At 43.1% G+C, this 26096-nt stretch overlaps 1 long non-coding RNA gene and 1 pseudogene across 2 annotated transcripts in view; one reads left to right on the top strand and one right to left on the bottom strand.

Moving 5' to 3' along the window:
* On the bottom strand, positions 21906-22008 carry RNU6-1055P (RNA, U6 small nuclear 1055, pseudogene; annotated as a pseudogene).
* Positions 22059-26096, top strand: part of F11-AS1 (F11 antisense RNA 1) — a 214961-nt gene continuing 210923 nt past the window's right edge. For both annotated transcript variants that reach the window (NR_033900.1, NR_033901.2), the window contains exon 1: positions 22059-22272. This is a non-coding gene — a long non-coding RNA (F11 antisense RNA 1). The remainder of the gene's footprint in view (positions 22273-26096) is intronic.

The following is a 26096-nucleotide window of genomic DNA, read 5'->3' as shown; positions in this document are numbered from 1 at the left end:
GGAATTATGTTTGGAAGTTTCCTGGGCTGTAAAATGACCTGTCTGTTGCCTACAGAATCGGCGTTTTATTGTTATTTGGATTCTAAGGAGAAATGCCATTCCTGAAAACTGGAAAAAATATTTGGCTATGAGTTGATGAAGTTTTCAGAAATGTGTGTAGACTGCTGTAACTTTTAATCCACCTACCCAGTCTTTTTCCTGATTACAAATGAGAGAAAAAAAACGGAGCAAAATAAATAATAATTTCAACAAAGGTATTACCTCCTTTAAAGGTGAGAATCTGGGAACTCAATTATTAAGTACCATAATGGCTCACACAAAAATAGGTGCTCTTCAGAGGCTCTTGAAAGAAATGTCTTCTGTCAGAAAATTTTCTCCCAGCATCTTAAAAATACACAAATTTTCTTGTGATAACCATATCATAAGCATCTGCCCTACTCCAAAACTGTCCATAGAAACTGAAAGGTCATGAAGGACTGTTGAAAGTATTGGTGGTTGCTAAGGTTATTAAGTAAGAAATCCTAATGGGCTGCTGGCATTTCAGGAGGACTCTTTCCTACCAAGACTCATTATCTCAATATAACCTTTTCTGATGATAAAGAAATTTAAAAACCACGTGTGCTCATATTGGTGGAATAAACATTGATGAATAAGCTAATAAGAATGCAAGACAAGAAAAAATTTTCTTTCTGAGAATTATTGATAATAAACATTTAAAAGCATCTTCACTTTTGAGGAAAGAAATGCAAAAAAGTGCATAATTTGATTTAGAAAAATTATTTTATCCCTTGAAAACCTCTTCATTTTTGCTACTCATTTAGCATCGTGTTTTGAATCTTTTCAGAGGTAAGTGTACTTGAATCTATGATATCATTTAACGTTTTTAATCAGACTTTAAAAAATAAACATAAGAACTGTATTGGGTTTAAATCTACACATTTAGCAAAATTTTAAGAAATATGAATGATTTATAACCAGGCTGAGCTAGGTGCTAGAGACATAGAAGCAAAGAAGACATTTTCTCCATGTTCCAGGAGTTTATAGTTTAGTGAGATGACAGAAATAGAATAAGGAATTCATTTGACTGAAATTGCATTTTGTTCACAGTATGAAGTATGTAGGCGAACATGAAAAGGAAGTTTTCAGAAAGGGTAACATGTAAGCCAAGACTCCAAGCAGGAGCGATCTGGTGACCTTCTGAGGAATGATGCCTTTATTGTGATTATCCTTTATGTTAGCTCTTTATTTTATTTCAGCTTAACAAGGTTTATTGGAAAAAGAACTGTGGACACAAATCTAGTTTAGGGATCGCCTGGAGACGATGGGACCCTATAAAATTAAGATTAAGGATATATACATTTTACCTCCTTAAAGTGATGCACTTATCCTGGTTTAAACTTAAATTTAGAAATACTGAGTTCCTTTTAATTGTTGACATAGGTCCATTTCAGAGAGCATTTTTAAAATTAGAGTCATTCATTGTCTTCATTTGTTGTTGCGTTACTGTAAAGAAATATCTGAGACTGGGTAATTTATAAAGAAAAGAGGCTTAGGCGTCTCATGATTCTGCAGGCTGTAAAAGCAGCATGGCGCCAGCATGTGCATCTGGTGAGGGCCTCAGGCCTCCTCTATTCATGGTGGAAGGGGAGCTGGTGTGTGCAGATCACATGGGCAGAGAAGCGGGGTATGTGGGGAGGTGCTAGACTCTTTTTTAACAACCAACACTCAGGTGAGCTCTCTCCAAACCTACTAGAGCAGGTCACCCAGGGGAGTGCAGTGGCACGATCATTGCTAACTGCAGTGTCAACCTTCCGGGCTAAAGTGATCCTCCTGCCTCAGCCCCCCAAGTAGGTGGGACTATAGACACATGCCACCACACCCAGAACTAGCACAGGAATATACCAGGAAAGCCAAGATCATCCACAGACTATATGAAGAAGGTGGATCTCCACTACAGGCTCCCTGAGACACTGAAAAACTGTGAGTCTGCTTGCTTTCCAAGAGGGGAGGCTGGTGGTCTGGGACAGGTTCTCAGTCCTGGCTACCAGCTGCCCAGAAGTAGACGTGGTGCTGTTGGGGGTTCACGATGGAAGTGAGACCAGCCTTTAGGACTGCCAGCTGCGTGGGTGTGAGGTGAGGCCCGTGACTGCTGGCTTTCCCCAACTTCCCTGGCGACTTGTATGACTCAGCAAAGGTAGCCATAATCCCCCTGGGACTATAACTCCATTGGACTGGGAACCACACTCTCATCCCCCACAGTAGCGGCAGCAAGCCCCACCCAAGGAGAGGCTGAGCTCAAACACGCCTATCCCTGCCCTCACCTGTTGGTCTTTCTCTACCCGCTCTGGTTACTAAGACAAAGGTCATCCTCTCTTAGGAGGTCTATGGCCCTGCCCACTGCATGGGAAACCTGAATACTTAGCCAGGTCCCCCTAGGGCAGGTCCGCATCCTCCCTATAAGACTGCAGCTGATGTGCTCTTGAAAGCACCACCTCCTGGCTGGAGGCCAACCAACACAAAACCAGTGCACTCAACAGAAGCACAACCAACACAAAACCAGCGCACTCAACAGAAACACAACCAAGGAGCCTCACGGAGTCCTCGTCACTCCTTTGCTACCTCCACCAGAGCAGGTGCTGGTATCTGCGGCTGCAAGACCCGAAGATGGATGACAAGATGGATGGAAGAGTCACGGGGCTCTTTGCAGACACTCCCAAGTACCAGACTGGAGCCTGGTAGCTCCGCTGCGTGGCTAGACCCAGAAGAGCAAGCACAGTCCCTACAGTTCAGCTCTCAGGAAGCCCCATTCCTAGGGGAAGGGGGAGAAAACCACATCAAGGGAGTCCCCCATGGGACAAAAGAATCTCAACAGCAGCCCTTGAATCCCAGATCTTCCCTCTGACATAGTCTATCCAAACGAGAAGGAACCAGAAAAACAATTCTGGTAATATGACAAAACGAGGTTCTTTAACACCCCCAAAAGATCACATCGGCTCACCAGTGATGGACCGAAACAAGACAAAACCTCTGAATTGCCAGAAAGATAATTCAGAAGGTCGATTATTAAGCTAATCAAGGAGGCACCAGAGAAAGGTGAAGTCCAACTTAAAGAAATCAAAAACACTATAAAGGATATGAAAGGACAATTCTTCAGTGAGAGAGATAGCATACATAAAAAACAATCACGGCTGAGCATGGTGGCTCACACCTGTGATCTCAGCACTTTGTGAGGCCAAGGCAGGCAGATCAGGAGGTCAGGAGTTCGAGACCAGCCTGACCAATATGATGAAACCCCATCTCTACTAAAAATACAAAAATTAGCTGGATGTGGTGGCACACACCTGTAGTTCCAGCTACTCAGGAGGCTGAGGCAGGAGAATCTCTTGAGCCTGGGAAGCAGAGGTTGCAGTGAGCCAAGATTGTGCCACTGCACTCCATCCTGGGTGACAGAGTGAGACTCTGTCTTAAAAAAAAAAAAATCACAACTTCTGGAATTCAAGGACACACTTAGAGAAATGCAAAATGCACTGGAGAGTCCCAGTAATAGAATTAAACAAGCAGAAGAAAGAACTTAAGAGCTCAAAGACAAGGCTTCGAATTAACCCAATTTGTCAAAGACAATGAAAAAAGAATAAAAAATGAACAACGCCTTCAAGAAGTTTAAGACTAAGTTAAATGTCCAAACCTAAGAATAATTGATGTTCCCAAGGAAAAAGAGAAGTCTAAAAGTTTGGAAAACATATTTCGGGGAATAATCAAGGAAAACTTCCCTGGCCTTGCTAGAGACCTAGACATCCCAATACAAGAAACTCAAAGAACACCTGGGCAAAATTCATCGCAAAAAGATCATTGCCTAGGCACATTGTCGTCAGATTATCTAAAGTCAAGACAAAGGAAAGAATCTTAAGAGCTGAGAGGCAAAAGCATCAGGTAACCTATAAAGGAAATCTTATCAGATTAACAGCAGATTTCTCAGCAGAAACTCTACAAGCTAGCAAGGATTGGGGTCCTATTTTTAGCCTCCTTAAACAAAACAATTATCAGCCAAGAATTTTGTATCCAGTGAAACTGAGCTTCATAAATGAAGGAAAGATAATGGCCTTTTTTAGACAAACAAATGCTGAGAGGATTTGCCACTACCAAGCCAGCACTACAGGAATGCTAAAAGGAGCTCTAAATCTCAAAACAAATCCTCAAAATAAACCAAAATAGAACCTCCTTAAGGCATAAATCTCACAGAACATATATAATGATAACACAATGAAAAAAAAAACAAGGTATTTAGGCAACAAATAGCAAAATGAATAGAATAGTACCTCACACCTCAATACTAACATTGAATATGAATGGCCTAAATGCTCCACTTAAAAGATGCAGAATGGCAGAATGGGTAAGAATTCACCAACCAAGTTTCTGCTGCCTTCAGTAGACTCATCTAACACATAAGGACTCACATAAACTTAAGGTGAATGGGGTGGAAAAAGATATTCCACGCAAATGGACATCAAAAGCAAGCAGGAATAGCTATTCTTATATCAGACAAAACAAACTTTAAAGCGACAGCAGTTAAAAAAGACAAAGAGGGACATTATATAATAAAAGGATTAGTCCAACAGTAAAATATCACAATACCAAACATATATTTACCTAACACTGGAGCTCCCAACTTTATAAAACATTTACTACTAGACCTAAGAAATGAGATAGACAGCAACACAATAATAGTGGGGGACTTCAATACTCCACTGACAGCACTAGACAGGTCATCAAGACAGAAAGTCAACAAAGAAACAATGGACTTAAACTGTACCCTAGAGAAAATGGACTTCACAGATATTTACAGAACATTCTACCCAACAACCGCAGATAGACGTTCTATTCATCAGTATATGGAACATTCTCCAAGATAGACCATATGATAGGCCACAAAACAAGGCTCAGTAAATTTAAGAAAATCAAAATTATGTCAAGTACTCTCTGAGACCACAGTGGAATAAAACTGGAAATGAACTCCAAAAAGAGTGCTCAAAAGCATGAAATACATGGAAATTAAATGACCTGCTCCTAAATGATTGTTGGGTCAACAATGAAATCAAGATGGAAATTGAAAACTTCTTTGATCCAAACGATAATAGTGACACAACCTATCAAAACCTCTGGGATACAGCAAAAGCAGTGCTAAGAGGAAAGTTCGTAACATTAAATGCCTACATCAAAAGGGCTGAAAGAGCATAAACAGACAATCTAAGGTCATACCTCTTGGAACTGGAGAAACAGGAACAATCCAAACCAAAATCCAGCAGTAGAAAAGAAATAAGCAAGATCAGAGCAGAACAAAACAAAATTGAAACAAAAAACTACAAAAGATAAATGAAATAAAAAGCTGGTTCCTTGAAAAGATAAATAAAATTGATAGACCATTAGTGAGATTAACCAAGAAAAGAAGAGGGAAGATCCATATAAGTTAAATTAGAAATAAAACAGGAAATATTACAACCGATACCACAGAAATACAAAAGATCATTCAACGCTACCATGAACACCTTTATGCACATAAACTAGAAAACCTACAAGAGATAGAAAAATTCCTGGAAATATGCAACCCTCCCAGATTAAACCAGGAATAAATAGAAACTCTGAACAGACCACTAACAAGCAGCAAGATTGAAATGGTAATAAAAAAATTACCACCAAAAAAAGTCTAGGACCAGATGGATTCACAACTGAATTTTATCAGACATTTAAAGAAGAATTGGTACCAATCCTATTGACACTATTCCAAAAGATAGAGAAAGAGGGAGTCCTCCCTAAATCATTCTGTGAAGCCAGTATCACCCTAATACTGAAACCAGGGAAGGACATGACAAAAAAAGAAAACTACAGACAAATATTCCTGATGAACATAGAAGCAAAAATCCTCAGCAAAATACTAGTAAATCGAATCCAATGGCATATCAAAAAGACAACCCACCATGATCAAATAGGTTTCATGCCAGGGATGCAGGGATGGCTTAACACAGCGTAAGTCAATAAATGTGATACACCATATAATAGAATTAAAAACAAAAATCACATGATCATCTCAGTAGATGCAGAATAAGCATTTGACAAAATCGAGCATCTCTTTATGATTAAAACCCTCAGCAAAATCAACATAGAGGGGACATATTTTAAGGTAATAAAAGCCGTCTATGACAAACCCACAGCCAAAATTATACACGAATTCAAAGATTCTCGCACAGATGAAGGAGTCAGGAAACAGCACCTTGGAGCTACACTGCAGCGCGATCTATGCTGCAGATTGAGTTCCCCAAGAGAGAAAGTCTAGTGTGCAAGAAATCTTCCTAGAAGTGTGCTCAGGCTAAACACATCAGGGGACTGTGCATTGAATTCAGTTGCAATGACATCACACAAAGGCCTTCATTGACCCCACAGGGAGTTCTGGAGCAGAAACAGATATTTAGAGTTGTCTCAAATTGTGCCAAGGGGTCCAGGCCTTTATAACCCAGCAGTCATGGGACATGGGGTGCTCTCTCGGGAAGAAGGCATGATCTCAGGTGGTGCAGCTCTCCTTAAGCTAGGGCATGGCCTAGAAAAGGACTCAGCTAGGAAGTGTGAGCTGTGGATACTCCCAGAAGCTAGGGGGTGAGTGCCTTGGTCTTAGAGGAGGGCCTCTCTCCAGAGCGTAACACAATACCCCCTGCAGTCCACCCCTTGCTCCATGCAGATCTGTCTGCCACCGACAGGCTCTGGAAGCAGCTCCTACAGAATTCTGCTGGGCTTCCTTTCTGAGGAGAACTCCAGGATAGCGGGATGAAATGCATTGACAACCACTGGAGCTGGTTTTCAGGCAATAATTCACCAACTCCCTCTTCCAAGAGCCATTTCAGACCCTCCTTACCCTCAGCTGGCACTTCTTTTTGTTGCAGTAATTACCTGATAAGGTGACCCTGAGCCTCCTCCCTGAAGGGTCTGAGCCTCTGGTCACCATGGCCTTCTTGAACCATAGCTGCTGCACTTGTTCATTTACTGTAAAAATTGAACGAGGATGTATAAAAATATGCCCAGGTGGATCATCTCTGTGTCAACTCTATTTTACCTGCCTGCAGTGTAACAGTGGCCCTATGTCTACCTGTTGATCAGAAACAATTGCCCCTGCAAACCCCTCTCCTTCCCTGGTCGTCTCATCTAGATGTATGTCTGCATGTGTATGTATAGTTGTATTATTGCGGTAAGGTAAACACAACCTAGGATTGACCATTTTAACCATTTATAAGGCACAGCTCTGTAGCATTAAGAACATTCCAGTATTGTGGGACCATCACCACCATCCATCTCCAGAACATTTTTGTCTTCCCCAGCTGAAACTCTGTACCCATTAAACACTTACCACCCCTTCCTGGCACCCCACAACCCTTGGAAATCTCCATCCTGCTTTCCATCTCTGTGAGTTTGACTACTCTACGTATTTTATGTAAGTGGAATCATACAGCATTTGTATTTTCTTGGTGGGCTCTTGACCCCGGAGTCTAAAGGGACACAGGTGGGACCCTGTCTGTGTCCTCTGGCAGAAGTTTCCCATTTGGGAACTAGTACATCTGCAGATCCTAGAGTTGCAGGTACAGAAACTACGTATTCCTCAAGTTTTCAGACATAATGGTAAGTGTTGTCATTCTACTTCCACCCTTTGGTTTCTGGACCCATGTATGTAATTTACTAACCCAAATCTAATAAATAATCAATTGTTTAAGAGGATACCGTGTCTCAGGGAATGATACCGTATCCATTCAGGTCACCGATCTCCACACTGGTGAATCAGTGGCGTCTTCAATAAGCCATTCCATTACTCTCTCAGGCTAGGGGTTTCTGGGTGGCAGGTATGCAACAGGACCAGTGGATTTCATGGTCATATACTGGCACCTTTTTACTGTAAAGTATGGTTTTTTGCTGTAAAGTGGGGCAATATTATTCCAGACCCTGTGTCAGTGGGATCAAGCATTCCGGAAAGTCCTCAGATGTTAGTGCCAGCTAATTGCCCTTAGGCAAGAAAGGGTGTATCTTGAGCATGTACCAATTTTAGTCAAGATGAATTGTGCCTTCCAAGCTCAAAAGACCATCAAGTGGCAGGTTAGAGTCCTCAAGGGATGGCGCCATATCAGGGTCTCAGTATCTGTCTCTCTTGAAAGCAGGCTGGATGTTCAGCAGCAGCAGTAGCTAGATTAGCCTTGGTGCACGGGAGCTCATGCCAGCAGGTCCAGGCATAGCCTCCCACCTTGCCACCACGGCTGCCCATTCATGTGCCTGTTACTCCTGAACATGAATAGCAGATGGCAGAGGCTGGCTGGTGTCAACCGGCCAAGTGATTCTCATTGGTAGTTTGGAACCTCTTCCCAGGTTGGCTCTCTGCTGGTGATTAATATGTGGTGCAAAGATCTGCACACTTTGTGCCCACTCTGAGGGCCATCCATTTGTCTCTTTCCCAGATCTCCTTATTCTCAGTCTGGTGCTTATTTTCTTCCAGCCCAATCAACCAACCAAACCATTTGCCACACAGATAGCCCATGAGCCTACGTATATTCCAAATTCCAGTCCCTTCTCTATCCACACAAAGTGGATGACTCATATTGGGAAGATTTCTCTTTATTGCTACAGTGGGGACAAGAATGACTTTATTTTAAATGGTAATCCACGTGACTAACCCTGAGTCTGGGAATGCCTCCAGAATGTCTAGTCAACGTGTGACTCTTTAGGTAGGAACACCTCTTCGTTGTAAGTGTCATGATGCCATAGCCACCTACATATTCCTTCTATGGCGCATACAGTTTTCCCCAAGATATAAGTCCTGGATCTGGGGGGTTGAGGTGTGAAGATGTACCTGTCTTGTGGCCACCCAAGATTACACTTCTGTCTGTCATTTCCTTCAATAAACCTCCTAATACTGACAACCTGGATCAGTTACTGTTCGGGACTACCTGTGATGGGCGGGCTGTAGGGCAGCTGCAATCCATTTTCTGCTTGCACCCACATATCAAGCCAATCATGTATGAACCAAGATCAGTCTTTGTTCTCCTCCATGAGCTGGTGGCCTCAAGCAGCCATAGGTGTGAGCTGAAAGGGTGGCACCCTGATTGCAACAGTCATGAATAACACAGAGCTCTGGGCTATCTGCTCTGAGAGTTTCCTTGTGCCTTGTGACCTGTTGATGCCCGATCCTGGAGGTATCACTTCCATGTCGTGGTGGAATGCTCCTAGGCCCACCTGACCTATGACTCAGTGAATCTGGCAGGAGCCAGCTTCTACAAGCAATTCTGGGAGCACTGTCATTGTCTCATGGCCAGTTCTCCGTGTTTGTCAGGGGCCACTAACATGTTAGGAGTTCTTTTGAAAAAAGCATATAGCTCTACACTGCAGACAGCATGGGTGTGCCCTAAACCCTTGGGGTCTATGTGTGATTCTCCTACTGGGACTTGCCATAAACTCTACATACTTCCCATCACACCAGAGATATTGCCATAGTGGTGCAAGCGGGGTTGTATGGCCCTGGAAGCAGAACCACTTACACTAAAGTCTGCAGCTGCCACCAGCCCATTTCTGCTCTAGAAACCACACAAAGGTGGCAGGTTGGTTGGTTGGTTTTTAATCAACGAATGTATGAGTTAGAGTAGCATTAGTATAAGGTAAGCTGCCTCCAGAATCTGAAGAGATCTGCCAGGAATTGTGTTTCCTTCCTAGAGGGGAGAGTTGCAAGATATAAATGTGTCCTCTGTGGCACAGATGGCCCAGCGTGTCTCAGGCCGCTGGACCGCTGAAATCTTCACTGACCTGGTGCTCTGGCATGCATGTGTACGATCAAATCATCCAATGTACTTGCCACTTCTTGCTCGTCTAGTCCGATTAACAGTATGCTTTTCAAATATTTACCGGTAATTGGGATTTCCTCATTTGTGAAATGCCTGCCCAGGGGTTTGTCCCATTTTTCTAATGGGTCACTTGCCTTTTCTCATTGATTTGTTGCAGTTGTTTCTACATGAGTCATTTGTCAGTTGTATTTGTTGCAAATAGCTTCTCTATTTTGTGCCTTGTCTTTATTTTATTTATGTTATTTTTATTTTTTAAGAGATGGGGTCTTGCCGTCTTGCCCAGGCCAGTCTCAAACTCTTGGGTGCAAGTGATCCTCCTGCCTTGGCCTCCCAAAGGTTATAGATATGACCTACTGTGATGGGTCTGTTCCTTATCTTTGTACTCTCTTTATGCTGTGAACAGATGTTCTCAATTTAATATGGTCAAACATGTTAATTTTTTTCTTTATGGTTAGTGACTTTGGTACCTTGTTAAAGAAAAAAAATTTCCCTACAATAAGATTATAATTTCCTATGTTATTTTCATGTAACAGCTTTATTATTTGCCTGTTGCATTTATGTATGTAATTCTGAGGTTGCTTTTTGTATAAAGACCCACTGTCTTTTTTGGTATGGATACCTACCCGTCATAGTGCCAATTATTCACAGGACTGTCCTTCCCCCTTTTTCCCAGCACCACCTTATCACAGATCAGATGTTCTGATGTCAAGTGTGAGGCTGTGACTGGGATTTCAATTCTGTTTTAGTCTTGTGCTAATTCCACTCTATCTTAATTCTTGTAGTTAATAAGTCTTGATGGCTGCAAGAAATAATTTCTCTACCTTCAAGAGTGTCTTGGTAAGTCTTGGTTCTTTGCATAGAATAAACTTGTCAAGTCCCCTCCCCCCTCAAAAAACTGTAACAATTTTAATTAAATTTTAATTGAATCTGTACACAATTTGCATCTTTGCAATATTGAGTCTCTAAGTCCATGAAGAAGCATGTCTCTTGATTTATGAACTTTTCTTTAATGTCACTCAATAAAGTATAATTTCCTCCCTATCTTCTATTAGATTATTTCTAATTACATGCCTTTGTTTTTGCTGCTCTTGAGTGTGTCTATTTAACATTTAATTTTTTTACTGTTGGCCTCATCAGGAAATTAAAATTGATCTCTGTATGTTAATTTTGCATCCAGTAAGCTGACTGAACTCTGTGGTTGTTTTTGTTTGCTTGGTTTTGTAAAATTTATTAAAGTTTAACAATCATATAGGAACATGTACCACTCATAAGTGTAGTGTTTGGTGACTTTCCCAGAGTGACCCTGCTGTGTAATTGGCATGCACATCAAGAAATAGAACATTCCTTAACATCCAGAAGCCTTCTTGTGTCTCTGCAGTCATCCCTACCATTTCCCACACATGTAATCAGTCTCGTTACTTCCATCAGCAGGGATTGGTTTCACCTGTTATTGGCTAGATTGACACGGAGCCATGCAGTACGCACCCTTTTGTGTCTTGTTTCTTTCACCCATGTTGTATGAACAAGGAGGTGAAAACTTGGGCGTGGTTCCTAGATGTTTGGAAGAAGGAAGCTGGCAGGAGCAGATTACTGCTGCGTCACAGCCCCACTCAGGGCACACTGAAGGGCAACGGTGAAGAGAAACGCTCCTGGTAAGCAGAATTCAAACAGTGCCCCTGATCGCCAACATCATGGGAAAGGAAAAGGGGCCTGAAACAAGGATAAACAGGGTATTGGGCAATTTCAAATAGTTTAGCTGGTTAGTTAAGGGCCTGGAAGAATTAAAATTGGAAAAAAAAGGCAAGGATGTCCAGGAAGCAGACATATGGTTGGACCCATGAGAGTAGGAACACAAAAAGCAAGGAAGACCCAAACCATCTGGTGGATTGGATGACTTGTTCAGAGGAGGCATCCTGCTTCTCCTCCAGCCGACCCTCGTGGTTGCACAGGGAGCGTATGGCGTGAGTATCTGTAGCGGTGGGAAGAGGGTCTCTGTGTGGGGGAGCGTATGGCATGAGTATCTGTAGCGGTGGGAAGAGGGTCTCTGTGTGGGGGAGCGTATGGCGTGAGTATCTGTAGCGGTGGGAAGAGGGTCTCTGCGTGGGCCTTACAGCATGGGTTCCCTGCCCTCCAGGCTGATCTAGCGACTGCCACTGCAGAATGCTTGCGTCGTCAGCAGCAGAGATGGATACTGAATCTTCACTGTGTACCAGCCCCCAAGGAGACCAAACCACCATGCCGTGTCGAGCTGATTACATTGGACACTTTTAACTGAGAGGGGGTATTGACATGTATTCCAGACATGCCTTCCCTACTGTGGTGCCTTTGCCAGCACTACCCAGTTTTCATCGAGTGCCAGAGTTATCATCATGGGACACTGAGTGAGATCTCTTTGCATCAAGGAATTCTCCTTATGCCCAAGGATGTGTGACAGGGGGAATAACATTGTCACATCACCCGGACCCTGCTGCCAAGACAGAATGTTGGAATGACCTCTGCTATGGGTGAATTGTGTCCTTCCAAGAGTAATATGTTAAGTCCTAATCTCCAGTAACTCAAAATGTGACTATATTTGGAGATAGGGCCTTTAAAGAGGTAATTAAGGTAAAATGAGGTCATTTGGGCCCTAATCCCAAATGATTGGTGTTCTTATAAGGAGGAAATTAGGGTACAGATAACACTCCTAGATGGAAGGTGACCATGTGAGGACACAGTGAGAAGGCAGCCACCTGCAAGCCAAGGAGAGAGGCGCCAGAAGAAACGAACCCTGCTGACACCCTGAGGTTGGACTCCAGCCTCCATATGCTGAGAAAATTAACTTCCATTGTTTAAGCCATCCAGTCTGTGGTATTTTGTTATAACAGCCCTAACACACTAATACAGCCTCTTAAAAGTGCTGCTGATACACAGGCTTGGAATGATATCCAGTGGAGCTGGGACTCTGACCTTCGAGGTGGGGACTGTACATAGAACCAATAGTCAGGATTTGGGGTTGGATGTTCAGTAGGTAGCAGGCAAGGCACAGGACCCAGCAGTGGAAGCAGGGATGTTCCTTCTCATGGTTAGATCCAGAGACCGACTCAGGGAATTGGTGCTCCCCATGCTGAAACTTCAGGCTCAGCTGCACTATAGCCCAGGAGGGAGATGCTTGCCCCAGAAAGAGGTAGAGGTTCTGCCAAACTTGAAGCTATGGCTGCTCTCTGGTCATTTGGAGCTCCTCATACCAGTAGACCATTGGGCAACAAAATGACTTCCTATACATGTAGGGTCTTATTGACTCTGATTATCATATGGAAAAAAAAGTCACCGGTACAAAACTGGGCTGGAAGGAGTATATCGGGAAGTTAGTATATTCACCAGGGAACCTGTTATTGCTGAATGTTCATTAATAACCATAAATGTGCAACTGCAGCAACCTTAGTCTCACAAGGACCTGGTCATCAGGGGTGAATATTGGGTTTTTCTGCCAAGTAAGCAACGTAAATCAGCACCAATGCTGACCAAAGGTGAGGGGATTTAGGATGAGTGGTGGAGGGCGGAAATGATGAGTATCACCTCTGGCTTTAAGACCAATCGCCACAGTAGGGACTATAGCTAGTCCCACTAACCCACCCACCCACCCTCCCTTCCTTTCTTCCTTCCTTCCATCCTTCTCTCCTTCCCTCCCTCCTTCCTTCCCTTCTTCCTTCCTTCCCTTCCTTCCCTCCCTCTCTCCTTCCCTCTTTCCTTCCTTCCCTCCCTCTCTCCCTCCCTCTTTCCTTCCTTCCCTCCCTCTCTCCTTCCCTCTCTCCTTCTTTCCCTCCTCTCTCCTTCCTTCCCTCCCTCCCTCCTTCCTTTCTCCTCCTTCCTTTCTCCCTCCCTCCTCCCTCCCTCCCTTCCTCCCTCCCTCCTTTCCTTCCTTCCTCCCTCCCTCCCTTCCTTCTTCCTTCCAACAAATCACTTTGAAAAACTAAGGATGAGGCAAAATGAACTTACTGGAGCGGTTCACATACTGGAGGGTGTGTGAATGGACTGAAGTGATGCCAGAGGTGTAGCAGAGGACATCGATGCCTGCCCATAGTTCTTGGGCCTTATCATGCCAATTTACAGATGGATACTAAATATGATCAGTGAAAGAAGCCAGACACAAAAGACCACATATTACAGCTGAGTCTTGAACAACTCAGGGTTGTTCAAGGGTTTGAAATGTGCATGTCCACTGATAAGTGGAGTTTTTTTCTATACGAGTTGCACTGAGTATGCTGCCTCTCCTGCCTCTCCTCCTCTACTCTCCTGCCTCTGCCACCCGTGAGACAGCAAGACCAGCCCCTCCTCTTCCTCCTCCTCCTCAGCCTACTCACTTTCACTTATGAATGGTAAATGTATTTTCTCTTCCTGATGAGTTTCTTAATAGCATTTTCTTTTCTCTGGTTTATTTTATAATACAGTATCTAATATATACAACATTCCAAATACATGTTAATCAACTGTTTATGTTATCCGTAAGGCTTCCAGTCAACAGTAGGCTATTAGTAGTTAAGTCTTTGGAGAGTCCAAAGTTATATGAAGATTTTCAACTGTGCGAAAGGTTGGCTTCCCTAACCCCGTGTTGTTCAAGGGTCAGCTGCATATGATTGTATTTCTGTGAAATGTTCAGAATGGGCAAACACATAGAGACAGAAAATAGATTAGTGGGACAGGGAATGGGGAGTGACTGTTTAATGCTTAATTGTTTCTGGGGTGATGAAAATGTTCCGAAATTGATGGTGATGGTTGTAGAACATTGTGGATATATGTGAGAACACTGACTTGTACACTTTCAAATGGTTAAGACGGTGAATGTTATGTTATGTGAATTGTATCTTAACAAAAATGTCTATCCCATGAGGTTTTGGTAGAATTTGCTCATCTCTTCCTGGAGATTTTTAAAATTTTTTCAAGGCCTTTGATCTACTGAAGTTTTCTATACTTGAGACAATTTTGGTAACCTGTTTACTTAGATTTCTCCACATAAATGCTTGGTTCCTTTGTCTTATGGAAACACGAATCTGTTGATGGTTTTCTATTCCATTCCAGTGTGTTTTGGGCTACCCACAAACTGGCTAATATTATGGGTTTGTAATATGTCAATACTTGAATATGATGTTTTGGGTTTTGTAATTTAATCTGTAGTTTTAGGTCCAAATTATTTTAAAAATTGTGTGCCTTCTTTAAAGATTTAATATTTACCTTTTCTTTTAGTACTAGTTACAATAATTATATATTAGTGTATACATTTTTCATTCCACAGATTGCCTTTCTTCTTTCATATGTTTCCTGCTGCTAATTGTTCAGTTTGGTTCTCAAGACAGTTTTTAAGGGAGACGTAAGCATTGTTTCATAATTCTTGTTTAACTTTGTCTCCAACATTTGCACAGAAGACAGTTAGTTATGAAATTCATGGCCTATGAGTCTTTTCCTCTCTAAAAGTCTATAGAAAAGATTCTCTGTGCCTTGGCATTTATTGCTACAGGAGGAGGAATATGAGGCCAGCTTAATCCTCTAAAAGAAACTGCTCGTTTTCTGCCTTACTTTCTCAGGGTGCAATCCTTATCATTCTCATTCAGACTCTTCCAGGATGGATGTCTATCTTTACACAATTTTTCCTTTGCATATGGTGCACCATTTTAACTGAGGCATAGTGGTGTAGCTTCCTATGTGGAAAGTGTTCTTCTAATATCTAGATATCTTGATTTACATCCATATATAATTTCATACATATTATATACATCTTTTTTGCTTATTGCTTCTGTCACATTTGTTCTCAGCTTTCTGAAGGAACACCAGTTTTTTCCAAACATTGGCTCTCTTTTCTGTACATCATCTGTCATTTTCTGACTTGTTTTCATCTTTTCAGTCATTTCATATGCATTCTTCAGAAATTTTATTTTTCACATGACTGATTTGATTTTTTGCAGCATAATTCCTTTTTTCAATCTAATACTGGCAAGTTTTCGTTTAAGTTGCTTCTCTCCTTATGATTTTTCTTCTCTTCTTTCATGGTAATGGCCTGCTCTAGGGTGGAGTCCCAATCCCCACACTCTGATAGTCACATTCTTGTATGATTCCCTCTCCTTGAGTGTGGGTGGGACCTATGTCTTTTGTATAGCCAACAGAGTATGGCAAAGGGGCTGGGGTTTTGCTCCATGATATGCTATGTTCTAGAAGACTCTGGCTGGCTAGTCCACTCGCTCTAGAAACTCTTCTTGCTGGCTTGATGAAGTAGGTGCCCTGTGTGGCGAACAGCTGTGGGCAGCATCTAGGAACTGTAGGCGTCCTCAAGAGCCACAGGCAGCCTCTAGGAGCTGAAAGTGGCCTCAGGCACACAGTTGGATGAACACAGGGACCTCCATTCTGCAACCACAGGAAAACGAATGCCACTAACAACCTGAGTGTCGGAGCAAATGCTTCCCCATTTGCGCCTCAAGTGAGAATGCCGCCGGCTGACATCATGATTGCTGTCTTGTGAGAGCTGAAGCAGAGGACCCAGCTAAGCCTGATTCCTGATGCTTGCAAAATGCAAGGGAGTAGATGGGTGTTGCTTTAAGCCGTGAAGCTGGGAGCAATTTGTTATGGAGCAATGGATACCCAATACATTAATAGAGGATAAAATATCTTTAGGATACCAAGAAATTGTTGATATATTCTTCTGGATCTTGACAGAGATAACTTTCAGAGATATGCTCTTTTTTAGAGATTCCTAGATGATCCCCCATTTATTTTTTTCTGAAATACTAGCTTTTCCATGGATTCCATGTAGGTTACTCTCCACTTTTCTATCCTAGGATTTGTAGGTGCTGTCTAGGTGTTGAAAAGATGGGACTGGAAATGGGAGAAAGAAACCACCGTCTGTCATTTTCACATAGCAATACAGTAGAGAGAGATAACTCTACTATTTGGTCTGTGCAAGCTCTAAAAATTTGAGGCTGATGGAGGGAGGGCAGGAATAGAATTGGTGTGGAAAGGGCAATAATAGGGGCATGGATTGAGGAAGGGGATACAGACATACAGCTGACTTTTTTTTTTTTAAGAGATGGGGTCTCATTCTGTTGCCCAGGCTAGAATGCAGTGGCATAATCATAGCTCATTGCAGACTTGACCTCCTGGGCTGAAGCAATCCTCCTGTCTCAGCCTTCCAGATAGCTAGAACTACTGGTACACACCACTACACCTGGCTAATATATAGCTGATTTATGCATAAGTGTAGAGGTGCTTCAACTGTGGCTGAGGGAAGTTATTCTGTGCCATCCTATAAGAGATAGACAGCACTGAAAGATGACTAGCAGATAGAAGGCAAATAGAGAACCTGCTCACTGCAGCTTGGCAAGAGTTTAGAATGTTACAGAATGAACCATGGACCAAACAAAAATGACCAAAAGAATCTGCACAGGGGCCGGGCGAGGGGGCTCACGCCTGTAATCCCAGCACTTTGGGAGGCTGAGGCGGGCGGATCACGAGGTCAGGAGATCGAGACCATCCTGGCTAACATGGTGAAACCCTGTCTCTACTAAAAATACAAAAAATCAGCTGGATGTGGTAATGGGTGCCTGTAGTCCCAGCTACTTGGGAGGCTGAGGCAGGAGAATGGCATGAACCCGGGAGGCGGAGCTTGCAGTGAGCCAAGATCGCACCACTGCACTCCAGCCTGGGCGATAGAGTGAGACTCCATCTTAAAAAAAAAAAGAATCTGCACAGGTCTATCACCTGTCCACAGGAAAATCGTTAATTAGACCTAAGTGCACATTTACAAAAATGTATAAGCAAGTCATTATTGCATGCAAGCCTAAGCTGCATGGCAATAGTGATTTGGCCTCAGATGAAGAGGCCTGGATGTCAGGGGGAGCAGGTTAGATGTAAGGGTCTTGGAGAGTAGAATGAAGCAAAGCCCTCTGCTGACACTCCCAGTGGGCAGGCACCTCCTCCTCTCATTTCTGGGTTGGGTCCTGGATACATATAATTGCACTATGGGGTTCTTTTCTTCGGGGGGTGGGGACAGAGTCTCCCTCTGTCTCCCAGGCTGGAGTGCAGCGGCGTGATCTCGGCTCACTGCAATCTCCACCTCCCGGGTTCAAGCAGTTCTCCTGCCTCAGCCTCCCAAGTAACTGGGACTACAGGCACACACCACCATGCCCAGCTAATTTTTGTAGTTTTAGTAGAGACGGGATTTCACCATATTGGCCAGGCTGGTCTCAAACTCCTGACCTCGTGATCCGCCCGCCTTCGCTTCCCAAAATGCTGGGATTACAGGCATGAGCCACTGTGCCCGGCCACACTATGGGGTTCTTAAAGAAACCTTCTAAAATAGCATAAGTTTGATTCCTTTTATTAATTCTGTTCTCCAGAACCTTGGGCCGGTTGCTACAGGTACTTCGGTTTCAGAAAACAAACACTTTCAGCTTTTCCAAGTGGTCTGTTTCTGATGGACTGTCCTTAGGTAGGATGTGCTGAATTCTGGCCAAGATTTTTCTCAGGCAAGCTTCATCTTTGTTATTATTATCGCGAACACCATGCACAGTCTGACACTAGGTGGTCTGTCGTATGTTGTTAATGTTAACCTTGCCCCCCTGATTTTCTTGGCATTTTGGTTAGAAGTTAAAGGAAAATGGTTTGAGGATGTTAGCTGGATGTCAGCTGGATGTCTAGCATCCTCAAACCATTCTCCCTTCTTTATACACAGCAGCTGAGTAATAGGACTCAGCTGCCTTCTTTATACCATTGATGGTCCTTAAACCAGAACCATCAACGGTATAAAGAAAGCAGCTGAGTCCTATTACTGATTCTAATCTGGTTTATTGGACTGATTTAAAGGGATGGGCAGATATAGAGATACAGTGTGAACACAGTGATTTCTATCATGTTTGGGTGCTGAATCTTTAGAGGCACATACATAGATTCCTCCAGTGTCCTGATAAGAATGCCAGGGTAGCTCAGGGAGATGGATCGGAATGGGGAACAGCTGTTGAAGGCCCGAGCTACTGAGCTTGGAGGAGAAGATACTTGATTGGCATTTAATAGACTTCTTTTGGAAAAAAGTGAAGGCTACACAGGCAAGGTTTGTATCATATGGCTTCATGGAGCTAGTGAGTGAAATGTTATGAAGAGCAGAAGCCTTTGACAGAATTGCAGCCAAACAGATAAAAATGTAGGCCATGGTGATTAATTTCATGTCTCAACTTGGCTGGATCACTGTACCCAGATATTTGGTCAGACGTTATTCCAGATGTTTCTGTAAGGATATATTTAAAATGAGACTAACATTTAAATCAGTAGGCTTTGAGGAAGCCAATTCCCCTCCATTATGTGGGCAGCCTTCATCCAGTCAGTTGAAGAAGGGCTTAAGAGAAAATCGACCGCCCTCTGAGAAAAGGGGATTCTGTCAGCAGGTGGCCTTCAGACTTGAACTGCAGAACCAGATCTTCCCTTAAAATACATCTCTTTAGGCTGGGCACAGTGGCTCATGCCTGTAATCCCAGCACTTTGGGAAGCCATGGTGGGAGGATTGCTTGAGCCCATCTGAGACCCGTCTGGGCAACACAGTGAGACCCCATCTCTAAAATAAAAGTATTAAAAAATAATTAAAAATTATTTCAAAAAACTCTCTATATGTGCATGTGCACACACACACACACACACACACACACATTGTGTTAAGGCTCTCCAGAGAAACAGAAGCAATACAATGTACAGAGAGAGAGAGAGATCTATTTTGAGGAATTTGCTCACAAGACTGTGGAGGCTAGCAAGTCCAGCATCTAGAATGGGCCAGCAGGCTGGAGACCAAGAGGCACTGCTGCAGTTAACGCTGGCAGCCATCTGCTACGGAAGCACGTCTTGTTTGGGGGATATCAGCCTTTGTTTCATTCAGGCCTTCAGCTGCTCAGATGAGCCCCCCCAACATTATGGAGGGAAGTCTGCTTTACTCAATGTTCACCCATTGAAACGTCAGTCTCATCCAAAAACACCCTCACAGGAATATCCAGAATAACATTTGACCAAATATCTGAGCATCCTGGTGCAGCCAAGCTGACATGTGAAATTACCCACCACGTGCATCCCATTGCTCCTGTTTCCCTGGAGACCACTAACACACTGACCAATAGCTTTGGTTTCTGGCAATGGGCTTGAAAGTTTGGATAACAGAATCACTCATCAAGACATGGTTAGTAAGCTTATAAACTAAGAGTGCTAATTAATATAGAATTACATAGAGGATAAAGTGTGTTTGCTTTGTGCATATAGTTAAGGACCCTGGGTATTAGTCTCCATTATTAATTATACTCACCTCATCACTAGGGACCATCTAACACGCGCCAGGGCCTGGGACTATGACGAGAACAAGGCAAATGCCTGCCTTCATGGAACTCACATTCTTCTTTCTGTTGTGATCTTACATGTTGAAATAGGTGTCTGTTCCTCTTTCCTTCAAGTGTGCTGTGATTTATAAGTGTTTCCTTCTCCCATCCTAGCTTTATCGAGATATAAAGATTGTGTATATTTACAGCGCACAATGGGAAGTTTTGATATATGCACGCACTGTGAAACGGTTACCACAGTCAAAGTAATTAACATCCATCACCTACATAGTTATTGGTTTTTCTTGTGGTGAGAACATTTGTCTCTTAACAATTTCAAGTATACAATAATACATTATTATTGACAGCACCGTCTCATACATAGATCTTCAGAACACACTCATCTTATCTGACTGAGACTATCCTCCCTTTGACCAACCTCTCCCCATGCCCCATGCCTCCAACTCCTGGCAATCACCATTGTACTCTGCACTTCGACCTCTTTGAAACAAGTAATTCTTTCAAAGAACTCCTGCACTGGTCAGCACTGGAAAAAGTGTTGCTAGTTAACTAGCTGATGTGTAGCAGAATGAGTTGCATTATCTATTAGAAAATATGGAGATTGTAACAGGAGGTATTTCTTCTACTTCCTAAGGGCTGAAATGTTCCTAGATATTTACCTTGAATATGTCATTTTAATTTTCTGAACATAGTCCAGTTATATGTCGCTGCATAATGCTGGGGACAGCAAGTAGATGGCTAACACAGGAGAGCCATTACCCATGGAAGAGAGATCTCTGTCTTCTGTACTAAAAGGGCAACGACATTTCCTCTATTAGATGTGGGCTCTCTTCCTTTCCTTGCCTTGATGTTTCTTTTTCTTTATTCATTCCCCCTTTGGTTAATTTTCAGAAAAACCATATCTCCAAATATGTAAACTGAATAAACTGGTGTCCTATGTTTGAGATAAAAGTTATTTTTTGTCTTGTAAGCTTGTTGTACTTTTTCTCCATTGCTGTGTAACTAATGCCCCCTGGATTTAGTGGCTTCAAACAGCACACTTTGATCCATTCACAGTCCCTGTGGCTCAGGAGTCCAGGCGTGGCTTAGCAGCATCCTCTGGCCCAGGTTCTCTACAAGGCTGCAGTCAAGGCTGTGGCCAGTGCTGCGGCCATCTCACAGCTGAACGTCGGGGATCAGGGGACGCATTCACATCCAGGCTCGCTCATGGGACTGCTGACAGTCCTCTGGTCCTCTCTGGCTGGTCCAGGGACATCATTTCATTGTTATGCGGGTCTCCCCGGAGGCCACTCACACCCAAGATGGAAGCCACATTCTTTTGTAAGAGTGACCCCTTACTCTGCCATATTCTGTTCATTAGAAATGAGTCACTAGGTCTAGCCCACACTGGGGGAAGAGCTTCCACTGCAGTGTGGCTCCCAGGAGAAAGGGGATAGTGGGAGCTCACTGAGAAGCAGCCTACCACATTTGTTATTATTTTCAATGTCTAACAAACCATGGATCCCTGTCAATTCTTCAATTTCAAATATTTTCCCTTAATCACCCCTTACTTTCCATTTCACTGCCAACACCTCGATCTCTGTCTTCCTCACCATAAGGCAGATTCGTAACAGCTTCCATAACTCGCCATGAGCCCCGCAGAGCCCTGGTTCCCCGCTGCTCGTTATTATTCCTGAAACGCCCAGTACCACTTCCTGTTCTTACTCATTTATTTATTTGGAACACTTCAGGAATTCGCGTGCCGTCCTGGCACAGGGGCCCTGCTGATCTTCCCTGTACCGTTCCAATGTTAGTCCATGCGCTGCCGAAGCGAGCACGCTTCCTGTTCTTGTTCACGAGCCTGCAACGCCCACCGTTGCCTGCTTCCAACTGTGCCTCACGTTCCTTCCAACGGCGCCTTCCATCCCAGCTGGGCGGGGCTTCGCCGTGTTACCTTCTCAACATGGCGAGCTTGCTGGACGTCACGTCGCCTTCGCCTTTTCCGCTGCGGACTCTGCTCACCGACCTCCTCAGTAGAGCCGGCCCTGCTCACTACCGCGCCCACGTGTCCTGTTGTGCTTCATTCCCACAGGCCGCATAAGGTAACATTTACATATGTTCTGGCTGCTTGACTGATTCTAATTTCCCTGTCGATGCTTTTCTTCAACGAGGCTGAAACCCGTGTAACTTCCTCTATTTCTGTGCATATGCGGCATCTAACAATATTGAGCACATAATTCCTCAAATGCTCGTGGCTTCAGGTGAAGATAGAGCTCTGGGCTTCCTAGCTGCCTAAGCCAAAAAAAAAAAAAAAAAAAAAAAAAAAAGCTAGGAAGGAGAGATAACATAAAAGCTAAAAGAAGGACTATTTTGAGCCTGGGCGCAGTGGCTCACGCCTGTAATCCCAGCACTTTGGGAGGCCAAGGCAGGTGGATCACCTGAGGTCAGGAGTTCAAGACCAGCCTGGCCAACTTGGCGAAACCCCATCTCTACTAAAAAATACAAAAAATTAGCCGGGCGTGGTGGTGGGTGCCTGTAATACCAGCGACTCGGGAGGCTGAGGCACGAGAATCGCTTGAACCCAGGAGGGGGAGGTTGCGGTGAGGCGAGATGGTGCCATTGCACTCCAGTCTGGGCAGCAGAGAGAGACTCCGTCTCAAAAAAAGAGAGGACTGTTTTGAGATATTTCCTAATAATTCTATCTCAAAATGTACAGAGACGGACATACTACGATTGTTTTTAGTAATGCCACATTTTTCTATTATTTCTTCTTTTTAGTCATTCTATTTCTATGATAGACATAGAGAATGATATCTCAACGAGATGATTTTGTCCCCAAAGAGATATTTGGCAGTATCTGAAGACATTTTTGGTTTTCACAGCTCAGGGGAGGGAGGGTTACTCCAGGGACCCAGTGGGTAGAGGCCAGGGACACTACAATGTATAGAATAGCCTCCAACAACAAATAATTACTTGGCCCTAAATGTGAACGATGCGGAGATTGGAAACCCAGCTTTATCTCGGGCACAGGAGTGGTGTAGCAAAGTCAGGGCGAGCCTGGATTCTGAAGTCACAGCGCTTGTGTTCACATCCCAGCTGTGCCATTCACTAGCTGTGTGACCTTGGACAAGTTACTTAGCATCCAGGTTTCCTCTTAAGTGATCGGAGTAATAGAACTCACCATTAAGCGTTGTTGGGAGGATTAGATGAGTTAATAGTTGTAGAGGGCTTCAAGCAGTGTCTGGAACATAATAAGAGCCATCACAAGTGTTTGTGGAGTGAAAACCCCTTTGCAGGAGTTCTGTGTGATGTAAGTGGAAGAAATCATCCCTTCCGGTGATCTCCCCTAGTCACGATGGAGTAGAAAACCTGAGCAGAATCTCATGGGCAGAGAGTAGCCTTAATTGGCTGCATCAATCCCTTGTGGCTGAATGACAAATTCATTGTTATTACCTTTGGTCTCACCACCATCTGCAAGTTGGAAATTGTAGCTAGTTTTAATTCAGCGTTAATGTGTCAACTGAACATTCTGGCATTTCTCTGAGGGGATCTAATTTGACGATGTAAAAAAGGAGGTGAACCAGCTCTTTTAAATAAGAGCAGGCTTGCAGGTGACTAACATGCTCTTTAGATTTCAGACCAGGAGAGCCACCCATTGTTAGTTACAGCAACCAGGTCCAGCACAATGGAGAGACCACTCAGAGGTGCCCACACCATCAGGACAGGAGCTATGCAGAACAAAGACACTCCCTTCTGAAAGGGACCATGTTCTGTGGCTTGCTCCAGATTTTTAATTTACAAAGCAAGTGTGTGTGTGTGTGTGTGTGTGTGTGTGTGTGTGTGTGTTCAAATCACTCATCAGGTTAACTTGACATCTGAATTGCAATCCTGCAGTGTGCTTTTGCAAGTAGATGAATTTCCCCTGCATCAGAACAGAATTTTCTTAGGTGTAGGTTTTATGTTATGATTCTTTTTGGGAGTTGCAATCATAGGAAAATTAGGAGGACTAAATCAAAAAGTGTTTTAAAAAGCAGATAACTTTCATCACTTGATAATACATACATCTGGTTACATCTTAGTCTTTCCTAATTCAACTTAAGAATGAAGCTTGTAAAAGTAATTGGCACCTGGCTGCCTCTGCTTTTCATTTAAGTCTCCATGCTGGAAGTCAGGATGGGTACGTAACTGACAAATAATTAATTTGCTTCTTAATTATTTACATCAGTTTCCCACTGTCCTGTAGAAACACAGAGAGACTCTGGGAGCAGCTAAAATATGTATTTTCAGGGTCTCCTTACGATTATGCTAACAAGTCTTATGGTGTCCAGAGCAAACATTAGCCAGGTGCGGCGGCTCACACCGGTAATCCCAGCACTTTGGGAGGCTGAGGCGGGAGGATCACTTGAGCCCAGGAGTTCAAGACCCTGTCTTACAAAAATTAAAAAAAAACTAAAACCATTAATTGGGATTTCAGATAACAAAACATAATTTAAGGAAAAACAATAGCACAATACTAAAAACCTGTAATATTGTTCTCTAAGAAGTGACATTGGTTGGTTATAAGCAAGTTTGGGTTTGAAGCATGTGAGCTCGTGGTATTAGTTAAAATTTCATGTCCCCTTCAATGCCCTTCCATGCAAGACTCCTTTGAGACCTTCACTGCAGGTGCTATGAAAAGAAAATATTCTGTTTGCAGCAGAATAGCAAAATGAATGCTGTGCACATAATTTTAGTGCTTATTTCAGATTTAAGTTATAGTTATTGTGTATTTTATTCATGTTGCTTTATGTGAACAAAAATAAAATTATTCAACACTAGTTCCAATATAATTATATAATTTTTTACTTCCAGTAAAAGTAATGGCCCATGTTTGAGAATGAAATCTTAGCGAGGTGAAACTATAAGTCTCTCTGATAGTCTAATTTTCTAGTTAATAATTTTTCTCCATAAAAAGCTAAAACTTAAAAAAAATTCCAACTCTTTTTTCACGGAAAACATATAAATTTTTAACATTTGAAACAGAAGAAATACAGGCATACGATTGAAATTTCAAGTGTAATAGGAGTGTTGCCAGGAAAAGGTGTTCCAATCCAGACCCCAAGTAAGAGTTCTTGGATCTTGTGCAGGAAAGAATTCAAGGTGAGTTGCAGAGTGCAGTGAGGAGAGAGAGTTTACTGAAACCTACCCAGATACAAAGTAGGGCATCCTCAGAAAGCAAGAGGAGGAACCCCTCATCTTTGTCTTAAGTTTTTCTTATATAGGGGTCTTATCTATGTAAAAGCTAAGCTACATTATGTCTACACGCCAGTGGGCTGACGGTGTGACAAAATTTATTCCTCGTTGGTTTAAAGAAAGCTGTCCTTGGCACTTTAGTGCACAAACACACCACAGCATGACTATAATTATCTTTAAAAGCATATATTGCTATGTGATATTGGGACATTGGGACATTTTGCTGTCATAAGAGTTTGTCCTTGCAGGCATTAGGCGTTTTTCTCAGCTATTAACATTCTATGACCATGGGTGGTGACATGGTTTGGCTGTGTCCCACCCATGTATCCCCCACCCAAATCTCATCTTGAACTGTAGTTCCCATAATCACCACGTGTCATGGGAGAGACCCAGTGGGAGGTAATCGAATCGTGGGGGCGGTAACCTCCATGCTATCCTTGTGATAATGCGTGAGTTCTCACGAGATCTGATGGCTTTATAAGGGGTTTTCCCCCACTTCACACTTCTCCTTGCTGTACTTCTCCTTGCTGCCACCATGTGCAGAAGGACGTGTTTGCTTCCCCTTCTGCCATGATTCTACATTTTCTGAGCCCTCCCCATCCCTGCGGAACTGGGAGTCAATTAAACCTCTTTCTTTTATGAATTATCCAGTCTAGAATATGTCTTTATTAACAGCATGAGAAGAGGCTAATAC

The sequence above is a fragment of the Homo sapiens genome, chromosome 4, assembly GCF_000001405.40.
Source record: "Homo sapiens chromosome 4, GRCh38.p14 Primary Assembly".
Taxonomy (NCBI): domain Eukaryota; kingdom Metazoa; phylum Chordata; class Mammalia; order Primates; family Hominidae; genus Homo; species Homo sapiens.
This window is presented reverse-complemented; position numbering and strand designations above follow the sequence as displayed.